Source organism: Homo sapiens, chromosome 3 (genome assembly GCF_000001405.40).
Source record: "Homo sapiens chromosome 3, GRCh38.p14 Primary Assembly".
Taxonomy (NCBI): Eukaryota; Metazoa; Chordata; class Mammalia; order Primates; family Hominidae; genus Homo; species Homo sapiens.
Window position 1 is genome coordinate 71,983,935 of NC_000003.12, and position 21,085 is coordinate 72,005,019.

The following is a 21,085-nucleotide window of genomic DNA, read 5'->3' on the forward strand; positions in this document are numbered from 1 at the left end:
CATGCCAACTTGGCATGCACCTTCTTATATTTGCTGTCATTCATTCCTGACCTCATTCCTGTTTCCCCTCACTCTATCATCCCTGGGACTGCACTTCCCAATAAAATATTAGTGTATAATCATTTGCCTCCAGCTCTGTTTTCTAGAGAATCTAGGCTGAGACAACTAGCACTGTGATGCCCAGAGGAGACTGGGATTCAAAGAATATTATGTTTGAAGACCTTTATGCTCAGTAGAATCCTTACGTGATGCAAGATTAAGTTAGGATTAATATCCGGATCATGCTTGAGGCTAGCTCTGTTTTAAGAAGGCTTTCACAGGGAGCCCCTCTCTTGCTCTTGACATTTAGAAGTATGGGAAGGTACAGTCCTTTTCCTGAGCTGTCTGACTTTTAGCTGCCAGACACACCTGTAGCAGCCGCCAGATGATGCAGGCTCTTCCTCCTTAGTAACCATCTGTCTACAATGATGGGCAGCCTCAAGGGAGGGTCTCCTCTACCATCTCCCTCTCGTTTCTTCTCCTTGGTCTCTCAACCCCTCTGAATAGCTGAATACCTCCCCTCTTTATATCTTAGCTTTCTGTGGACCAAAACCCAGAAAGGCAAGGGGCTGTGCACCCAGGCGCATAGTTACAATCTGACACCCAATAGATACTTTACGTTCCAGGATGTATCAAAAGCAGGTGGCAGTGGGCGCGGTGGCTCACGCCTGTAATCTCAGCACTTTGGGAGGCCGAGGTGGGTGGATCACTTGTCAGGAGTTCAAGACCAGCCTGGCCAACATGGTGAAACCCCATCTCTACTAAAAATACAAAAATTAGCTGGGCCTGGTGGTGGGTGCCTATAATCCCAGCTACTTGGGAGGCTGAGACAAGAACTGCTTGAACCCGGGATGCAGAGGTTACGGTGAGCCGAGATGGTGCTACTGCACTCCAGCCTAAGCAACAGAGCAAGGTTCTGTCTCAAAAAAAAAAAAAAAAAAATACATGTGGCAAATAAGCACATGAGAACAGTTTTGACATCATTAGTTATTAGGGAGACTCAAGTTAAAACCACAATGAGCTACCAAAAAAAAAAAAAAAAAAAAAGAAAGAACAAAAGCATGTGCAAATCTGTCAAAATCATGATATGAAAATGTGTACACAACATAATGCAGTGTGCCAGCATTCACTGAGATTTCAAAGTCAATTCAAGCAATAGCTATCAGCGCTGGTCCTGTGCTAATCTTAAAATGGCACAAGGCAGTTACGGTCACAGGTGCTTCCCACACACCAGGCATGTACCGAACGTTTCATGTAAGTGTTTCATTTTGAATCAAAACCTTGTGAGGTAGACTATTATTATCTCTAATTTACAAAGGAGGCAAATGAGCTTCAGAGAGAAAAGGAACTTGCCAGAATCTCACAACTGGCTGAACCAAAATTCGGATCCAGGACTTTCTAACTGCAAAGCCCACAATCATAAGCCTTGTGCTTCCCCCATATCCTGTTGGCCCTGACTTCCTTACACGCCTACGAAGTCCTCTGTGATCTCTGCCTGAGGGTTTTCTCCTCTGCACACATGTTGGGCTGCAAGTGCTCAGGAGTTGATACTCCCAAGAGCAGCCCCAGCTGATGATGAATGAGCATTGGAGGGTAAGCATCAGCTTCCTTGCCCCTTGCGGGCCTTAACCCTGGTAGGTTCTGCACAGTCTTCTGAAGGTTCCCAGTTGTCTGCAGTGAAAACCCACTCAGCAACACACAAAATTGGCTTCCTTCTCTTCCCTGTCTCATTTCCCAACTCCCCTAGTGGGATCACTTTCCAAATCAACAGTGTGTACTGAAACTCCTGTCTCAGAGTCTGCTGCTCGGGGGCGGGTGGGGTGGAAGATAGACTCGGTGGGAGGTAGGGTTCCTTATTCTGGAAGAACTTACATATTCTTATGGAGAAAACACACACACACACACACACACACACACACACACACACACACACACGCATGCACAGAGAAGTAGAGAAATAACAAAGACTGTCTCCTGAAGGTAGAACTGCGTGGTATCATGTATCAAAGATAGAATGGGCCTGATGGTACAAAGTGAAGGCAGCTGCACCTGATGACCCCTCACTTTTTTTTTTTTTTTTTTTTTTTGAGACAGGGTTTCACTCTGTCACCCAGGCTGGAGTGCAGTGGTGCTATCTCAGCTTACTGCAACATCTGCCTCCCTGGTTCAAGTAATTCTCCTGCCTCAGCCTCCCACGTAGCTGAGTTTACAGGTGTGCACCACCACACCTGGCTAGTTTTTGTATTTTTAGTAGAGACAGGGTTTTACCATGTTGTCCAGACTGATCTCAAACTCTCGACCTAAGGTGATCCTCCCACCTCAGCCTCCCAAAGTGCTGGAATTACAGGTGTGAGCCACCATGCCTAGTCGACCCCTGATGTTTTGACTGAAAGACCTCAGATTCTCTCCCTTGTGCCACCACCCAGGAGGGTACAAACAGAACAAAATCTGGGCCTTAGGCCTTTCCTCTGATTCCTTAGGGGAATCATATCTGCCCAGCACACTGGGCTGGCTTTGCACAACAGTAAAGTTTATTGCCACGTGAGAGGTGCTAATGTTTTACCACTGAGAATATCTCAGAAGTTAGAACCTCAGGTCCTTCAGTTGTCTTAGCTATGGATGAAAAACCTTCCATCACCCAGCTGCTTGGGTCTTAAGATAGGAAGTGACAGCTACGGTCTTAAGGTAGGAAGCAGTATGTTTTGAGAGCGATCTGTCATTTCTCCACATTTGGCCCACTAGAGTCTTTCTTACTTGAGCACTAAAACATGCTTCTGACCTCTGATCAAAACGGTGTTGATGATACAGAGTCATGTGCCTGACTCAGGCCATGCAAATCACCCCACCGCCAACTCCTAATTCCCTCAAGGATTATCAAAAGAACATAAATAAAGGGTCGACTGCCTCCATTATCCAGCATTCAACTCCTTTTTCGATGTGGGCATGAAAGCAGAGAGCTGTGTAGTTGGTTGAATGATGGCCCCCTAAAAATATGTCCACCTAGTACCTGTGAATGTGACCTTATTTGGAGAAAGGGTCTTGGCAGGTGCAATTAAGCAAGGCTCTCAAGATGAGATCATCTTGGATCATCTGGATAAGTCTTCAGTGGAATGCACGTGTTCATATAAGAGACAGAAGATAAGAAGACAGAGGAGGAAAAGTCCACATGAAGGCAGAGGCCGAGATTGGAGTGATGTGGCCACAAACTAAGCAATGCCAGGCTCCACCAGAAGCTGGAAGCAGCAGGGAACAGAATCCCTGCTACAGCCTCCAGAGGGAGTGCAGTCCTGCTGACACCTTGACTTTAAATTTCTAGCTTCCAGACAGTGACAGAGTACATTTCTGTTTTCCTAACCGAGCCAGTTTTTGTGGTATCTGTTACAGCAGCCACGGGAAACTAATACAAGTTGCTAACAATTTTTGGCCCTAACAACGTTTTCAGGGCTTTAACCCTTAATCTTCATAATGATGCTTTAAATGTTTTAATTAAATTAATTTTTTTCTTCTTATAACGAAGCTTTTTGGGTTCTTTTAGAAACTGGGTCTCGCTCCGTTGCCCAGGCTAGGGTGCAGTGGCGTGACTGTAGCTCACTGTAACCTCAACCTTCTGGCCTCAAGCAGTCCTCCCACTTCTGCCTCTCAAAGTGCAGGGATTACAGGAGTGAGCTACTGCACCCAGCCCATAATGATAATTTAAGGTAAGGATTGTTTTTGCTTCATTTCATAGGCAAGGAAACTGAAAAGCAGAGAGTTAAAGTGACTTATCCAGGTACATTAAGCAAGAAAATGGCCAAGCTTGACTTCAAATCCAGGCTATCTGATCCCAGAGCTAGTACCTTTAATGACTGTGGCCTCCTGCTTCTCCAAGCGGAATTACAAGCAGAATCCACCCCCTCCTGCCTCATGTGTGTAGTAATTGTTGGAACGCGGTTCCTTGCCTCTCACAACAGTTCCCTGTGCTCCCCTGGCAGGCAGGATATATACACATCTGACTGGGCTGAGCTAATTGGACTCTAAATCTGCAGGGAGTGAGGCAAAGCCGCAGGGTGGTTAATTTCTTCCTGGCGGTGGTAGTGGTGGCATCCTAGGCAGATGCTTCCTGTTAAAATTCATTGTGGTTCTTCCTGTTGATTGACCTACTGCAACTGCCTTGATTCCTGCCCTGTCCAGTCCCCAATATTCTTTCTCAATTCCTTCTCCACTGAAGAAAGCCAGAGTTAATTTCTGTTGTTTGAAATCAAAAATCTGTCTAATGCAGAGGAAAAGCTGGCACCTGGTGAACCCCAGGCAAAGCAAACATCTCAATGTAATCCTCAGCTTACCCTGTGCCTTCTTTGAGGCTGAGCTCAGCACTGGGGCCAGTGCCCCTGCCTCAAATAGATCAGTTTTACAAACTATTAGGAGGTAATATAGATGGGGCTGATGATCTCAAGGAAAATGAGAAAGGGAATTTATAGCACTGCCCAGACTGAACTTCATAAAACTCTAAAAACCTCTCTGTCTTCCCCGTCACTTCCTCTTAAGGAGTTGGCTATCTCATCTTCTCCAGCCCCTGGCCTCTGTGCATTTCCACTCTGACCATCAGCTCACATTCCCTACTCAAGAGAAAGGAGCCCTGGATTTCTCCCTTTAAAAATCAGTTCAGGCCAGAGGTGGTGGCCTACTCCTATAATCCCAGCACTTTAGGAGGCCAAGACAGGAGGATCACTTGAGCCTAGGAATTTGAGACCAGCCTGGATGATATAGTAAGATCCTGTCTCTACAAAAAAAAAAAAAAAGCTGGACATGGTGTCAGTCATCTATAGTACCAGCTACTCAGGAGGCTGAGAGGGGAGGATCATTGAGCCTGGGAGGTTGAGGCTGCAGTGAGCCATGATCATACCACTGCATTCTAGCTTGGGTGACAGAGCAAGATCCTGTTTGCTTAAAACAAAAACAAAAAACTAGTTCAATGAACATACACTGTTTCTCAAACATTCTTGGATATTCAAACTGCACAGGATGTAACTTATGGGCCTCCATATATTTGCTCAGCTTCACTATTCTAAGCTTTAATCTTTAAGCAACATGAGCTAAAACATCTCCTCATAAAAATAGATGTTTCTTGGGTGGCTGGGCATACACTGTCCTGGAGAAAATAAAATTATCCTCTCAATATTCTATCAGGGAGGGGCTCACATCTGTATCCTAGGTCCCCATATTCTAATCCCCGCAGCAGCATCAGTCTCCCCTGGAGTAAAGGCAAAGCCTTCCCATGACCCCCGTCATGCCCACTCTGAGGCCCAGGACTGACCTGACTCATCAGGGCCCTGGCTCCTCCCTCTAATTCCAGGCGCAGGAGAAGCATCATGCTTTGGGGCGTGGAATTTGGCTTCCTCAGTGGCTGCTTAGATGGAGATGACACCACCCAGAAATGGCATGAGTCAATGCCCCATGGAGCTAATGTTGACCAAGGAGAGACCTGGCAGTGAAGGAGCCACAGTTAAATTCCTTGCACTTTGCTCCCCTGATGGACTCTTCTGAGGCTTAGGAGTACCTCTTTTACTTCTCTGCAGATGTACTGCATGAACAAGCAACCTGCTGTGTTTCATTGTGAAGCTGTGGCCAGCCCAATTGGTAATGCACCACCTACATTTGCGTTCCTTCCTTCTCCACCTCATTTCTTTGTTCCCTTATTCTTGTGGCCTGTGATTGCACCCCCAATAAGCACGGTCAGGTAAGCATCATCTCAGGCTCTATTTTCTATGGAATGTGAGCTAAAATATCTCCCAAGAAAAATAGCTCCTTCTTATGTGGGAGGGCAGATTTTGCTCTGAAGAAAATAATAATTTTATTACATTATTATACCACAGAAGAGTCCTAAAGCCATATGCCAGAAACCTTAAAGAACTTCTGCAAAATGTGACGGTTCAAGACAAGATTAAAGACTGGCTTGACCTGACTTCACAGAAACAATGAATTCGGAAAGCAAACAGAGGAGTCTGCATGAATGGAGTAAAATTATTACTGTTATCATTGTCATCATCATCTTCACAGCTAACACTTTCTCTGAGCTTACCATATGCTGGGCACTCTTCTATGCACCCTATATCTAGGCTCATAGAATCCTCACGACATAAACCCAGGAGGTCAGCATTATTAATATCTCCATTTTATGGAGGAAGAAACTGAGGTTCAGCCCAGTCAAGTAACTTACCCCAAATCACATAGCTAGAAAGTGGTGGAACTGGGACTTGAACCCAGGCAGTCTAGTTTCAGGGCCCTGCCCATTAACATTACTATCTTGCATGGTCTTTCTCCTTCATCTGAGTATCAGTGATTCAGACATGGATGAATACAGTCTCTGAAAGAAACTTAGCCCATCTCAGTAATTTGCAAATATAGGCTATTCTCTGAATAAATAAGAAAACAAAAAAGAATTTACTGTTTGTGGCAATGGAAAGGGGCCAATGTGAAAACAGCAAATTTATCTTGAAAGAAAAACATGTGAAACTAGGTAAGTCATCATTAGTATTTTCAAGATAACTTAAAGACCCATCATATCTATTAAATGACAGCAGGTTGTCATGAAGAATAAACATAATCCAAGATCCATAATCCAGTCTATAAAGACTGCAGATGAAAATTATAGGTGTCATATTAAAAACACAATAGAAGCAGTGCCTTTCCTGAGTCACTGAAGAAAACCAAGATCACAGAAGAGAGAGATAGGCTTAAGAGCTTCTTCAAGAGCTCTGTGGAAAAGATTAAAGAGGTGAGAATCAAAGAAGAAAAAAAAATGATGTCCATGAGACCCAACATGCATATAATAGAATCCCTAGAAAGAAAAAGCAGATCTGACTGTCTGGAAGTCATGTTTGGGCTTGACTTAAGCCCTCACTTCCACACCATGACACTGTCCTACACAGCAGGGTAGGAGTCCCAGTCAGCCTGGTGCATTGGGAAGAATTAGTTGCAAGGTTGAATCTCTTAAGCTAACCTCTAACCCACAACACACAAAAAAGAGTATAATTAGGGTCTAACCAGTGGTGGGATTCTGTGCACTTCCTGTTTGCATTCCTTTAGAGAATCAATTTACTAATCCTTTGAGAGGTCATCAGGGGAAGAGAATACCCTGTTCCTGCTCTCAAGGAGGTTCCAATCTACTGAGGGACTCGGTCTGCTTCTAAGATACCTAAGATCATGTGTAAGGAAGATGGTCATCACAGACACAGGAACTCCTTTCTGGAGCTCCACATCGCCTGTCTTTCTGTAAATGGATTGCTAAAATGACTCATTTCCCCATGTACAGGGCTCCTCCAATGATGTCACTACAAAATTGCTTAGATATTATTTTAAAGTAGCCATCTTACTTTAAATATGGTATATTAGCCCATTTAGCATAGCTATAAAAGAGTACCTGAGGCTGGGTAATTTATAAAGAAAAGAGGTTTATTTTGGCTCATGGTTCTGCAGGCGGTACAAGAAGTGTGGCACCAGCATCTGCTTCTGGTGAGGCCTCAGGAAGCTTCCACTCATGGTGGAAGGAGAAGGGGGAGCAGGTGTGTCACATGGTGGGAGAGGGAGGAAGAGAGAGGGGAGGGAGGTCCCAGACTCTGGTTCATGCAAGCAGATCGTGCATGAACTCGTTACCATGGGGTTGGCACCAAGCCACTCTTGAGGGCTCCACCCCTAAGAGCCAAACACCTCCCACTAGGCCTCACCTCCAATTTTGGGGATCACATTTCAACATGAGATTTGCAAGGGACAAACATCCAAACCATATCATATGGGAATTGAAATTTTTTATAGATTATTTACAATTATAACCAGACCTGTGAAGAGAATGGCCTTGGGATCAGTCAGGCCTGGATTTGAGTCCTGGCTCTTTGCGGCTTCTATCAGGTGACTCAGCCTCTCTAAGGACTGAGTGTCCTTATCTGTATGATGGAAATGATAGTACAGCAGCATAGTGTTCCTCAAACATTACTGTGTACACCTTGCTAAAATGCAGATTGTATTCAGTACCGGGGGTGGTGCCTGGGAATCTGCATTTTTGCAAGCTCCTGGGTGCTGCTATTGCTGGTCTGTAGGACAGGCCTTGGCAATCTGTGGCCCTCAGACTCATTTTGTTCAGCCCCACAAGCTAAGAAGGTTTTTTTATGTTTTTTATATGTTTAAAATCTTGTAAACCACAAGCAAATAAAAAATTTGAAAAATATGTGACAGTGACCATATGTGGCATGCAAAGCCTGAAATATTTACTGTCTGGTCCTTTACAGAAAAAGTGTGTTGCCTCCTGTTGCAGATTCCAGTTCTACTGCTGCTTTATCCCCTATACCCTTGGGCCGCCTGAATTCACCTGCGGCTGCAGGCAAAGGCATTTTCCAGCATGCTAATAATTCCCATCTCAAATACCTGTGCCTCTCTCTTCTCTGCTGGAAGGCTTTATTTTTGGCACTAGGTGAGCTTTCTCAAAGATCTGGAGACCTAATTGGAGCTGGGGGGAAAGTTAACTTCAATCAGTAGGGAATAGAGTCAGATGGGTAAGTGTGCCAGTGTCCCTGTGAGTGGATTCTGAGGTGTGCTCCATGCTGTTTCACAGAGTGCACCCATGAGAGTGAGTTCCATGTGTCCACGTTAGTGACCTGCTTATTAAGGCACGCTTCATTGGCTTTATCTTGGCTAGCTCTTCCTTTTGATGTGCTGGTACCAGCTTACATAGGTTTTTGAGAATCAATGTGTGCATCTCTTCCCTCTGTGTTCAGTGATGTCATGATGGTGACCTAAAATTGACTATGGTGTCATATTTATACCAGGGAAATCCCTAGATGCTATAAATCAGGTTGTTGTTGTTGTTATTGATTTTTTTTTTTTTTTTTTTGAGACAGAGTCTCCCTCTGTTGCCCAGGCTGGAGAGCAGTGGCACGACCTTGGCTCATTGCAACCTCTGCCTCCTGGATTTAAGCAATTCTCTTGCCTCAACCTCCCCAGTAGCTGGAATTACAGGCACCTGCCACCACGCCCAGCTAAATTTTGTATTTTTAGTAGAGACTACCATGTTGGCCAGGCTGGTCTCAAACTCCTGACCTCAGATGATCCACCTGCCTCTGCCTCCCAAAGCGCTGGGATTACAGGCATAAGCCACCTTGCCCGGCCTGTTGTTATTGTTGTTGGACAGCCAGATGTTAGACATTTACCAACATACCATTTCCTTACTTGTCCTTTCTGGCCCAAATAAACTATGTGTACCCAAGTCCTTGTCTCAGGGTCTGCTTTGGGTAGAACTCATACTAGGAGAAGTACCTACCTGCCTCATAGTTTTGATGTTCCTGCACCAAAATCACACAAGATCACATCTGAGAATCATTAGCACAAGACTTAGTACGTGACAGTCACTTAAATGTCAGTTCCTTCTTCTTTCATCTCTTTCCCTTAGGAAAAGGGAGACTCCACAGCATTTTCCAAGATACCTGCCCTACAGGCTTTTGGTACCAAAGTCAGCTCGGGCCCCCTGGGCCACCTGGTCACCTTACTGGAGGCTACAGAATGACTTATTTGGCCTGTGTCCACACACAGACCACCACGCACAATGGGCAACAGGACATGGGCTGAAACTTGAATTGGCGTCAGGAAGGAAGCATATCCATTGCAACCACATGAAACTGAAAACATGTGGGCAAGGCAACCATGACAGCACCAGCATGTTCTACCAACTCCCACCAATGGGATGCAAACAGTGCCCCTTTGTGCAGAGGTGACAGAAATGAGGCTGGTAGCTCCTTCAGGGTGCTGTAAAGTGAGGTTGGAACTCAGAGCTAGAGAAGAAGAGGTGAGGCCCAGAAAAGTGGGAAGGAGGAGACAGAAAAGGCACGACTTGAAAGAGACTGCCAGGTCGGAAGAAGTGGCTCACCCCTGTAATCCCAGCACTTTGGGAGGCTGAGGCAGGAAGATCACTTGAGCCCAGGAGTTCGAGATCAGCCTGGGCAACATGGTGAAACCCCATCTTTACCCAAAATACAAAAAAATTAGCCAGGTGTGGTGGCGCATGCCTGTGGTCCCAGCTACTTGGGAGGCTGAGGTGGGAGGATCCCTTGAGCCTGAGAGGCTGAGGCTGCAGTGAGCCAAGATCTCACCACTGCATTCCAGCCTTGGTGACAGAGTAAGACCGTGTCTCTAAATAAATAAATAAATGAGAAAAGAGAAAGAGACCGTTAGGTGCCACCCCATATCCATTTTCCCCTTCCTACTTAGTAACGACCCCAATTTTTAATTCAGTGCTCAGCCAAAAGACCACATGACCCTATTTCCCTTGTAGCTGGGTGTGACTCTTATTCTAGTCAATGAGATAAAAAGTGGAAGTTGTGTGTGGGGCTTCCAGGAAGGCCCTGTAAAGGATACTGACTCGTCTAACCAACAGGCCGTTTTGCCCTCCCCCTCTTTTTCCTTATTGCAGCCTGGAGCTTGGTGTGACAGTTGGAGCTCCAGTAACTGTCTTGGGTGATGAGTTACCCTGGGATGGAAGTTGGCGCTGAGGATGGCGTGTGCAGATTGCAGTGTGGTTCTCTCTCCCACTCCGCCCTGGATCTGCTGACATGCCTCATTTTCTCCTCGTCCTGCCAGCAGCTGTATGTCCTTCCTCACGTCTAGCCACCGTGCCTTTCAGGATGCCAGCTCTCTGTGCTACGGCTGTGCCTCTTCCCTGAATTACTCAGGTCTATGCTAAGTTTTGGGCTCTCGCAACTTCCCTGGATTCTCCCCAGAATGAGAGTACAAGCCCCGGTTTTCGGATTCCCCAATCAACATGAGGGTTTTGCCACTCCGCAACGGGCTCAGTTCTGTAGCAGTGTCTGGAATGACCAGCATCTAAGCCTTCTTTCCTTCCTTTCTGGTCCTTACACTTCCTCCCCAACTTGTAGAAACTTTATAGGTGGCAAAAGGTACAAGGAACAAGATAACGTCTCTCTTTTGTTATATATGACTCTAAATTTCAAAACATCTATGACTTTTGAAACACAAAACTGTCAGAATTATTTCCCTTCTTCTCCCCATCCTGTGATAACATCCTTTTTCTGAGATAATAAAAGCCGTTGGCCCAGGTTCCCAGAGTGGGGAAAGGGTTGGCAGCCATAGGAAGTACTACCGGGCCAAAGCATCAGTGTGTATCTTGCAATACCTTACCACATTGAGAAAAGGGGGAGGAGACACTAGGAGAAGAGCTGAACAGCATCAGAGCCAGAGATGGATCAGGTCAGTATTGGCAATGTAGTTAAGAGCAGTGTGATGCTGCTGCTGAAATATCAGAGTCCTGTATGTCTCCCCTGTCTCTCCTCAAAGTCCCATGGGGGGGACCTCATCACTCATCATGAGAGGAAGCTGCTCTCAAGCCCACCTTGCAGCATGGAGGAAAGAAAGGAGCCCACATCTGAGGATGCCCAGCATGGCCTGGGCCCTTGAACAACAGGGTCACAGCCAAGGATTCTCACCCCTCCAATGTGGCAGAGGGGCCCCACTCTGGGGAAGGTGGCCTGCTCAGGGTCACAGTGGGTGGAGCAGCTTTCAAGGCACCCAGCATTTAATAATTGATCCTGTCAAAAATCATCGATGGGTGCTAAAACAAGTGGGCCTAAGTTTGCTGAGGAACAGGCATTCATAGCATCTCCACATATGATATTCAAAGTCTCAAAGTCTCTTTCAAAGCCACCAAATTTAACGTCACCAGTTATGGGACAAATTGACATTGTGTGCCTTCTGATAGGATGCACTGAGAAAAACACATCGCTTTTGTGACATTTCTGGCCAAAATGTCTAACCTGAATCTAATCACAAGGAAACATCAGACAAACCCAAACTGAGGGACAGTCTACAACAGTAACTGGTCTGTATTCCCGAAAAACATCAAGGTCACGAAAATCAAAGGGAAGGCTAAGGAGCCATTTCCAGTGGAAAAAGACTGAATAGAAGGGACACCCAAAAGCAACGTGGATTTGATCCTAGACCAGAGAGGAAAGGGTGTTTATGACGGCCATCTTTGAGGCAGGCAGCTGCATCTGAAAGGGCCCCTCGATTGGATGGTTGCATTTCTCTCCATGTTAATTTCCTGATTTGGGTGATTGTATTATCTTTATGTAAGGACGCTTGTTCTTAGGAAATAAATGCTGAAATATTTAGGGATGAAGGAGCATTCTTTCTCCATCCCATTTCTTCCCCCACCCCTTCTCTTCCTCCTTCCCTCTCCCACCCCCAAGCAAGTGTGGTGAAATATTCATCAGTGGGGGATCTGGGTAAAAGGTACTGGTGAGTTGTTTTTTGCACTATTCCTGTAAGTTTTCTACACATCTCAAGTTATTTCAATATAAAAAATTACCACCCCAACCCACACCCTCTAAAATATTTGAGGAACATGAGATCAGGGAGGGGAGGAGCCCCGAGCGCCCCCTAAATGTCCATGTTCAGATCAGAAAGGGGCTTTGAAAAGCCTGAAGTCTAACCCTCTCATTTCACCTCTGAAGGCTGAGACACCAGAGAGGTACAGGCACACAGGTCCCATGAGCCCAGTGCAAATGCGTGTAAGCCCCTTGCCATACTGCCTCCCTGCTTCTGAATCCCAGATCTGCCATTTGGTAACTAAGAGAACTTGAGCAAGCTACTGACAGGCTCCAGGACCTGCTACCCCCAAATATGATACCTTGGCACATTGACTGTTTCAAGCTGAAGGAATCTGTAAAACAGCAGGTGCAGGAAGATCTCTCTGACCTTTCCCTGAGGCAGGTCATAAGCCCCTCCATGAGAGGTGCCCTTTCTATGCCTGGAGAAGAGGAGGATCCTTATCTCCAAGTCACAAGGACATGTAGAGGAACCTAGATGCAGGCTTGCTGTCTTCCCCAGCTGACCACTCTTACTTCCTACCTTTCTTTTGTCCTGTCACATTTTCCCAAGAATCTCCATTCTTCATCAAACCTAGCATAAATACATTCAGGTTTAACAACTTCTTTGGGTCTTCACTTTCTCATACTCTCCTGTGTCATGTAAAATACATATATTAAATAAATTAGTATGTGTTTCTCTTGTTAATCTGCCTTCTGTTACAGGGGCCCCAGATGAGTCTTAGAGGAGTAGAAGGAAAAGATATTTTTCCTGCACTACACTGCGTATGCTTTCTAGTCCCCAATTTCCTCATCTGGAAAATGAAAGGATAAGAGCACCTCTTGGGGAAGGGAGTGAGATAAAGTTCATGCGCAGCACTTAGCACAGATCATGCTCCATCCATGACTGATCAATGTCAGTGTGTACTACTACTGTTGTTGTTATCACTGTTATTTATACCCTGACTCACTACCCTGGATTTACTAAGAAAGGAACTGATTAATGTATCTGTAAGAATGTTTCCAGTTGAGAGAGACAGAGACAGAGAGAGAGAGAGAGAGAGGAGAGAGAGAGAAAAGAAAAGAAGAAGAAGAAGAAGAAGGAGAGGAGGAAGAGGAAGAGGATGAAGAAGAAGAAGAAAGGAGGAGGAGGAAGAGGAGGAGGAGGGAAAGAACGATAACACAAGAACACAAGGGAAAGTATTTTTTAGAAAGTAAATATGTTATCTCCTGTAACAACAAGTCTGGATATGAAATGGCTCCCCAAGGGATTCGTCAGGTGGTTCATTGCTGTCACCAAGGATACAGGTTCTTCCCCACTAACTGTCCTGCCAGCCTCTGCTCAACTTCGGGATGGATCCTTCCAACATCCCACATTTGCTGTTGAAGTTTTAGCATCATAGGCAAAAACAAAACAAAACAAACAAACGAACAAAAAAACCAACCCCCGGAGACAGACAAGTGAAAGATCTCTGTTTTGTCTCAATCTTTAAGATCGAGGAAAAATTCCTAGAGTCTCATTAATGTCCCTTTATATCTCCTTTTTCAAAATAACTTCACATGCCCCATGCTCAACCAAACTTTTATGAGGACATGGGATGAGCTTGTGTATAGGTAAGAATTACACTGGCCGGAAGGGAACAGAAAAACCTCGTATAACAGTGTCTAAACAAGACAGAAGTTGCTTTCTTTCACATTTTGGAAGCCTGGCTATGCAGTTGGGCACCTCTACTTCAGGAACCCAGGCTCTTTCTAATCTCATGCTCCTCTGTGCATGGTTCCACTCCAAGTTGCTTCATAGCCCCAAATGGCTGCTCCAGCTCCAGTCCTCTTGCACTCATTCCAGCACCAGAGGAAAGAAAAAGAGAGGAAAAGCAAAGTTCCAGGCCGGGTGCGGTGGGGCTCACGCCTGAATCCCAGAACTTTGGGAGGCCAAGCCGGGTGGATCACAAGGTCAAGAGATCGAGACCATCCTCCCCAACATGGTGAAACCCCGTCTCTACTAAAAATACAAAAATTAGCCGGGCGTGGTGGCGCGCACCTCTAGTCCCAGCTACTCAGGAGGCTGAGGCAGGAGGATCACTTGAACCCGGGAGGCAGAGGTTGCAGTGAGCCGAGATAGCACCACTGCACTCCAGCCTGGGTGACAGAGCAAGACTCCATCTTAAAAAAAAAAAAAAGCAAAGTTCCTTTCTATAATGGACACTTTTAGAATTGTACATTCTACATATGCTGACTCCACCTGGACAAATCTCAATCACATGGTCTTACCTGGCTGTAACGAAGGCTGAGAAATGTCTATCCTGCACAGCCATGGGCACAAATAAAAATTGGAATTTCTATTGCTATTTAAAGGGGAGAAGGTACAGCTTACTGGGTGATAACCAGCAGTCTATGCCACACACGATTCCATCAGCACTGGGCGTGACCTGGCCTACCTGAGGCCATGGCTGCCTCATACCTGCACAAAATCAGGTTCAGCTAACCTTGTGGCAAGGTTGGGAAGGGTTGTTGGATAGGCAATCACAGGTTACAGAGACTAGCAAACTCCCATCACTGCTTACCAGGTTACCAATTAGTAGAAATGAGCAAGTTTTCCTTTTGGTCTTTTCAATGTACCACATCTTCCTCCTACATTCTCTCCTCTTGCTCCTCTAGAATAAAATCTATAAAGCACGCAGTTGCATTATTCATGTGCTAGTCACACAACTCTTGTGCTCAGTAAGTGCCTGAATCACTTGTGAGACCCAGAGCACAGAACATTCCATCCCCATCAGATCCACTTGGGGGAGGAGGTGCTATTACCCTGAAAGTCATTTCTATGGTATAAATTCACCCTTCTTTGCAAAATGATTCATTTTTAGTGCCCACAAATCACTCTTCCAAGAATATCACCACACATGTGGAGGGAGATTCTTTCCCTCCCAAAAGCTCAACAGTTGTGGATCTGATGACGTTATTTCCAGAATTCAGAATGAACAGGGTTACTGGGAATAAAGGATGTGACTTACAAGATGACACATGGAGGAGAGGCACATGATCAGCTCAGCTATCTAGATATATTTAAGTATGGTTTATCATGGGGTTTCACGAAGAAGGCTCCATGTTTAAACATCTGGCTGTTCCATCTTTACAGGAGACATTTGTTGCTTCTCTCTGTCCAACATCCAATTCCTTGACTTTATTGACAGAATCCATATTTCCCTTGGGAACCGGCCCTGCAAAAGTCTCAGTTCAAGCTGAGATTAACACCACCTTTGTCTTTTGGAGTTGACATGTTACTCATGCTGTTATAGAAGTATTGAGTTCCCTTGTCCACAGCAATTTGTTCATAATTGGAAAAATGATCCCAATCACTCAATATATCCCATTACCTGGCTTTTTATCAAAACTGTAGCAAAGACAGAGGCTCCATGTTCAGCTCGACTTGGGATTAGGAAAATGCAAATCTAGAGATGCTGGGTGCCATGATGTGAAGAGAGGCCACCTAAAAATGGAAGGATTTACTTGTCTCAGTAACCTATTAACTCCCAGTACAGAAGCCATTCTCTCCTTTGTCTTGTTAGCAAAACCCTGATTTTGTACATAAGGAAGCAGAACCAAGAGGTTTAGAGAGAGCTTGAATTTTCACGTCGTATATTAAGTGCCTGGGTCCACCATACCTGAAGGAATGTCACTTAAATTTTCCATTAGTGAGCCAACGTTTTTGCTTAAGCCAATTTTACTTGGATTTATATTACTTGCAATCAAAGATCCTGGTTAATTACAGCCATGTCAGTCATTGAGCTTCTCCTTTATTTGACATTGGTATGCAGTCATTTTTTTTTTTTTTTTGAGACAGTGTCTTTCTCTGTTGTGCAGGCTGGAGTACAGAGGTGCAGTCTCAGCTCAGTGAATCTTTGACCTCCCAGGCTTAAGCCATCCTCCCACCTCAGCTTCTCAAGTAGCTGAGACTACAGGTGCACACCACCACATCTGGTTAATTTTTGTATTTTTTGTAGAGACAGCATTTCGCCATGTTGCCCAGACTGGCCTCCTGGGCTCAAGTGATCCTCTTGCCTCAGCCTCCCAAAGTGCTGGGATTACAGGGATGAGCCACAGCACCTGGCCTAGTCTGTGCTTCTTAAAATGGTTTCTTCTCCTTGAATATCCTACGATGAACTTAACCATGAGCATTCTCCAAGGCTTGGGCTGTGATCTTCTCTTTGAGGGACACACAGTTCAACCCATACACGTGGGAAACATTGTGAGATGGGGTTTGGTATGCAGGATGGTTATCAGGGAGTGTTCATGTTGACACATGTGAAAGGAAGATGAGGAAGTAGGACCAGGCACAGGGGGAATTCAGCTGTTGAGGCAGGACCACTGACTATCTTGGCCAACCCCACTGGAGGACCTGGAGCTAGAATGGCCCTTCAGAGTCACCTGGTGTTGGGACAAGAGGGCCAGGCCCTTATATTCTCACATCTGTCAGTCACTGGATATTAGGCTGCACCAGGAAGGGGCACAACCTTGGCATGACAGTGGCATGCAGCTGAGGCAATCTCTGAGGGGCTGAAGCCGGAAGCTCTCTGCAGACACCACTGTCAGCAGCTGGGCAGTGAATCCTTCACTGAAGCGTATCTGGGGACAGGCATCCGAGCATCCTCCATGTAAGTTGGTCCCTCTGCCTGCAGGAACCTGCTTCCTTTCATCACTCCTTCAAGCCTAATGGGTTGACAACCCCTCAGTTACCAGCCCTCTGGCACTGCACGATGCCTTGTGGGATTCCTCTTTCCTACTTACGACTTTGCAAATGGTTCCTTTATTAAAGTCTCCTCCAACTGTTGTCAAGTCCAAAGCTTGTACTGCTCACTGCATGACAGCTATTGGTCGAAAGACAAGATGTTGGGGCAAGGGAAGAGATTTTATTTTGGAGGGCCAGCAAACTGAGATGGCAGACTAGTGTCCTAAAGAAACATGTTAAGCTAATATGAATTTAGGGCTCCCTTTATTTTAGGGAAATGGAGAAGATGCAGGGGGCTGAGGCCAAAAAGTGACAGATGACCACAGACATCTGAGTGGCAGTGAGGGTCAACTTCTTTTTCCTTGGTCCCGTCACAATAATCTTATAAAATTTTAATATAACATTGTTACTTCTGTGTACTCCCTTGTTTTCTCCTGGGGTGTTAGTTTCGGGGAAGGGCTATTCTCATCCTTGCTTGAAAGTTAAACTATAAGCTAAATTTCTCCCATAGTTAGATTGGCCTATGTGCAGAGATAAGCAAAAACAGTTAACCTAAAAGATATTGATACAGGAGACAGAAAGAAATTATTTAGGCAAACAGCGAGGGCAAAAGGGTCCTTGGTGGAATTACCCTTTTAACAAAAAGCAGCCCCAGAATTATTTCTTTTCCAACAAAAAGCGGCTTTAAAAAGTTGAGCTGCAGACGTAGATAAATAAGCAAGCTGGAAGCTTGCATGGGTGAATGCTGGCAGCTGTGCCAATAGAAAAGGGCTACCTGAGGGCCAGGGATGTTCAACATGGAGGCTTCATCTTGCCTTTTCTTTGTCACTACATATATGGTAAAGGAATAGGCAACATGGCACTGGCAGGTAGAGAACACATCTGCATAATAAAAGATTAGGGTGGGGATGGCCAAATGGCATGCCTAGTCCTAAACCAGTTTTCAAGCCTTATGCAAATGGCACACCTGGTCCGACCAATCTTTTGTGCCCTATGTTAATCAGACGCCACCTCCTCAAACTCATCTATAAAAACCCCTGCCTTTTGTTGTGGGCCAGAAACCCGCTCAGGACCCCTCTCTCTGCAGGAGAGAGCTCTTCTTTTTTGCCTATTTAACCTCCACTCTTAACCTCATTCCTTGTGTGTCCATGTCCTTGATTTCCTTGGCATGAGACAATGAACCTTGGGTATTACCCCAGATGAATGATGTCGCTTCAATATCATCATGGGAGGCTGGACAGAAGGGGTGTGTGTGGAGGGAGTTAGTTGTGCTAGGCTTCCTTTTTATGTTACATGCCCATCATATTGAGTGTGCTCTCTGCTTCCTGATGGGACCCTGACTGATGTGACCAAACAGGTCCAGAGTACTCCACCTCAAAAGATGCCACTGTGGCATATTGAGTATTTTCAGGTAAAGGCAATCAAGAATCTGCAGCAGATACAGGAAGAGCTCTCTGCCCTCCCTTGATCTGCCTGAGAGCTGGGCATAAGTTGCCCTTCCTTTGTGAAGGTGACTCCCCACTAGCACCAGGAAGGGAAGAGTAGTAACTCTCATCAACAGAGTATAGGGAGTTGACACAGAGACGAGTTTGCATAAACAGACCTTGTAAAAATAATGCTTACTGCAGAAGTGAGGGGAATTTTTCCCTTTACTTTCTGAAGATTCAATTCTTTAAGTCTGCTGAAATAAACTGGCAACAGACAGAGTAACAGGAGAAAAAGCATCCAAATTCATTTCAGTCGATGGTGTCATCACAGGCAAGTGAATACCCAATAACCCAATGAGGTCTAGAAGCTCAAATGCCACTTTATGTTGTGGAAAAAAATGGGGAATGGAAGATTCCTGGAGGGTAGTTGTGACAACATATGTGAGGTGGGGGGAGGAAGGCTGTTTTTATGCACATAAGGTCTCCCAGGTAACAGCCATCAGAAAAAAAGGTGATTGCCTGTGGTAATCTCTGTCTTGAGGAGGTTTCAGACCTTTATCCATCTTTAGGCAGATAAAACGGCCTCAGAGAAAAATCTCTGCTTCCATCTGCAGTTTACCATACTAAGGTAGATCCACGTAAGTTTCCTTTAAGAAAGGACAGCTTTTCAGGTCTATTCCTGCCTGCAGTTCTCTGAATAGCCAGTTTGAAATATATCAAGGAAGTGTGTTCTGGGGTGGCATATTCTTGCCTTCCACATTAGCTTCCACTCGTTCCCCTACGAATTTCCTAGTCACTTCCTTACCCAGCACTGTCCCTCAAAGCCCAAAGCCCCTTTCATTCTTTAAAATGGTATATAAGCCCCCAAGTCTAACCACTCTTTATTTCTACTTCTTTTCTATGAACCCTCATGTATGTAAATATTAATAAAAATTGTGTACCTTTTCACCTGTTAATCTATCATTTGTCAGGTTAATTCACAGGCCCCCATTTACTGAACCAAAGAGCGTAGAGGAAAAGTTTTTCCTCCTAGACATAACTTTAGGTTCACCTCAGCAGAGTGTGGAGAATATCACACAGCCAATTAGGAGGACAAATCTTGATTTTATTCCCTTTCCCTAGGTTCTGACCAATGGTACTGAACAAAACCATCAGGAAGGCCACTGTTGATGGGGCAGTGTTGGAAATATAATAAAAAGCAAAATCTCCTGGCCAACACGGTGAAACCCCGTTTCTACTAAAAATGCAAAAATTAGCTGGACATGGTGAGGTGTGCCTGTAATCTCAGCTACTCAGGAGGCTGAGGCAGGAGAATCATTTGAACCCAGGAGGCTGAGGTTGCAGTGGTTGCCACTGCATTCCAGGCTGGGTGACAGAGCGAGACCCTGTCTCGAGAAAACCAAAAACCAAAAACCAGAAACAAAATCTCTTTTTTTCCCAACCCAACCCAGAAAATATCTCCACAAAGCTAAAAGAGAAAGAAAACAATTTGATTATTGAATGAGCATTAAACCAGATGTGATGCACATCACAGGCAATGCTGCTGAAAGGATTGTAAAGACAGAAAGAAATCTCACTCTTTTATGTAACTAAGTGGATGCAACCCATTCAATACATCAGGTAGGTTTTGCAATTTGGAGTCAAGTGACAAGTTAAGCCTGTGCCCTCCCAGGAAACCGGGAGCTGGGATTTATCTTCCTTGATGATTACATTTCAAAGAGAAAGAGGTGGCTCCCAGGTCCTTGAGGAAATATTCTTGAGTTGTGAGACTGATCAGAGGCTATTTAGCCGTTCCAAAGATTTACATACATTTGAGAAGGACAGAAAAAGTAATTCTGAAAGAAAAGGAAGACAGGGAGAGAAGGCTCTTTCCTTATTTTCAACAGGGAGAAAAAAATGCTATTTGCCTTACAGAAGCCAAGGCCACACTCCAGCTGTGATACCAGGGAAAACGGGCGCAGCAAGGAAAAGGCCAAGGAGCTAAGGGTCCCTGCTCAGGTCCCTTGGGCACTGGCTCCTCCAGCCACCTACAGCAGGGACAGCTGTTGGCCTCTTGTTCAGCAATTTCAGAAGCAAAGAGAGGGCTCCCCTGCTCCCATACCTCTCTCTCTCTCACCTGTTCAGCCATTTCTCAAAATATCTGTTTTGGGTTCAGGACACGCGACTCCAAAATATGACTGTAGAAGACCAGAATAAGCTGCCTAGGCATATTGATTATTTTGAACTAAAAGAAATCAAGAACCAGCCAACACAGTAAAAGCTCTTCATCTTCCCCTCCACTGTGTAAAACAGAACTTGAAACCGCCTTTGCAAAATGACTGAGACAGTGAGAGATCTAACTTAACCGACCCCATTTTGCTTCTAACCTCCAAGCTGTCCTTGTTCATTCCTGGGCGTAAGCTGAACTAACTTTAGGAGAAACTTAGTTTATAGTTCTGTACCAGCCCTTTCCCAAAGCAGACGTCCTTCTTGCCTGGGGACTAGATTGCCTTTGTAGGACTAACGTTGGCCACAAGATTGGAAATTATGGTTTAGGAGTCATGCAGCTG

General features: G+C 45.2%; 1 long non-coding RNA gene across 1 annotated transcript; it reads left to right on the forward strand.

Moving 5' to 3' along the window:
* The first annotated feature begins 9,764 nt into the window (after nucleotides 1-9,764).
* Nucleotides 9,765-12,188, forward strand: LOC105377157 (uncharacterized). Its single transcript, XR_940957.3, has 2 exons — nucleotides 9,765-9,850; nucleotides 10,475-12,188. It is a non-coding gene; the product is annotated as an uncharacterized LOC105377157 (long non-coding RNA).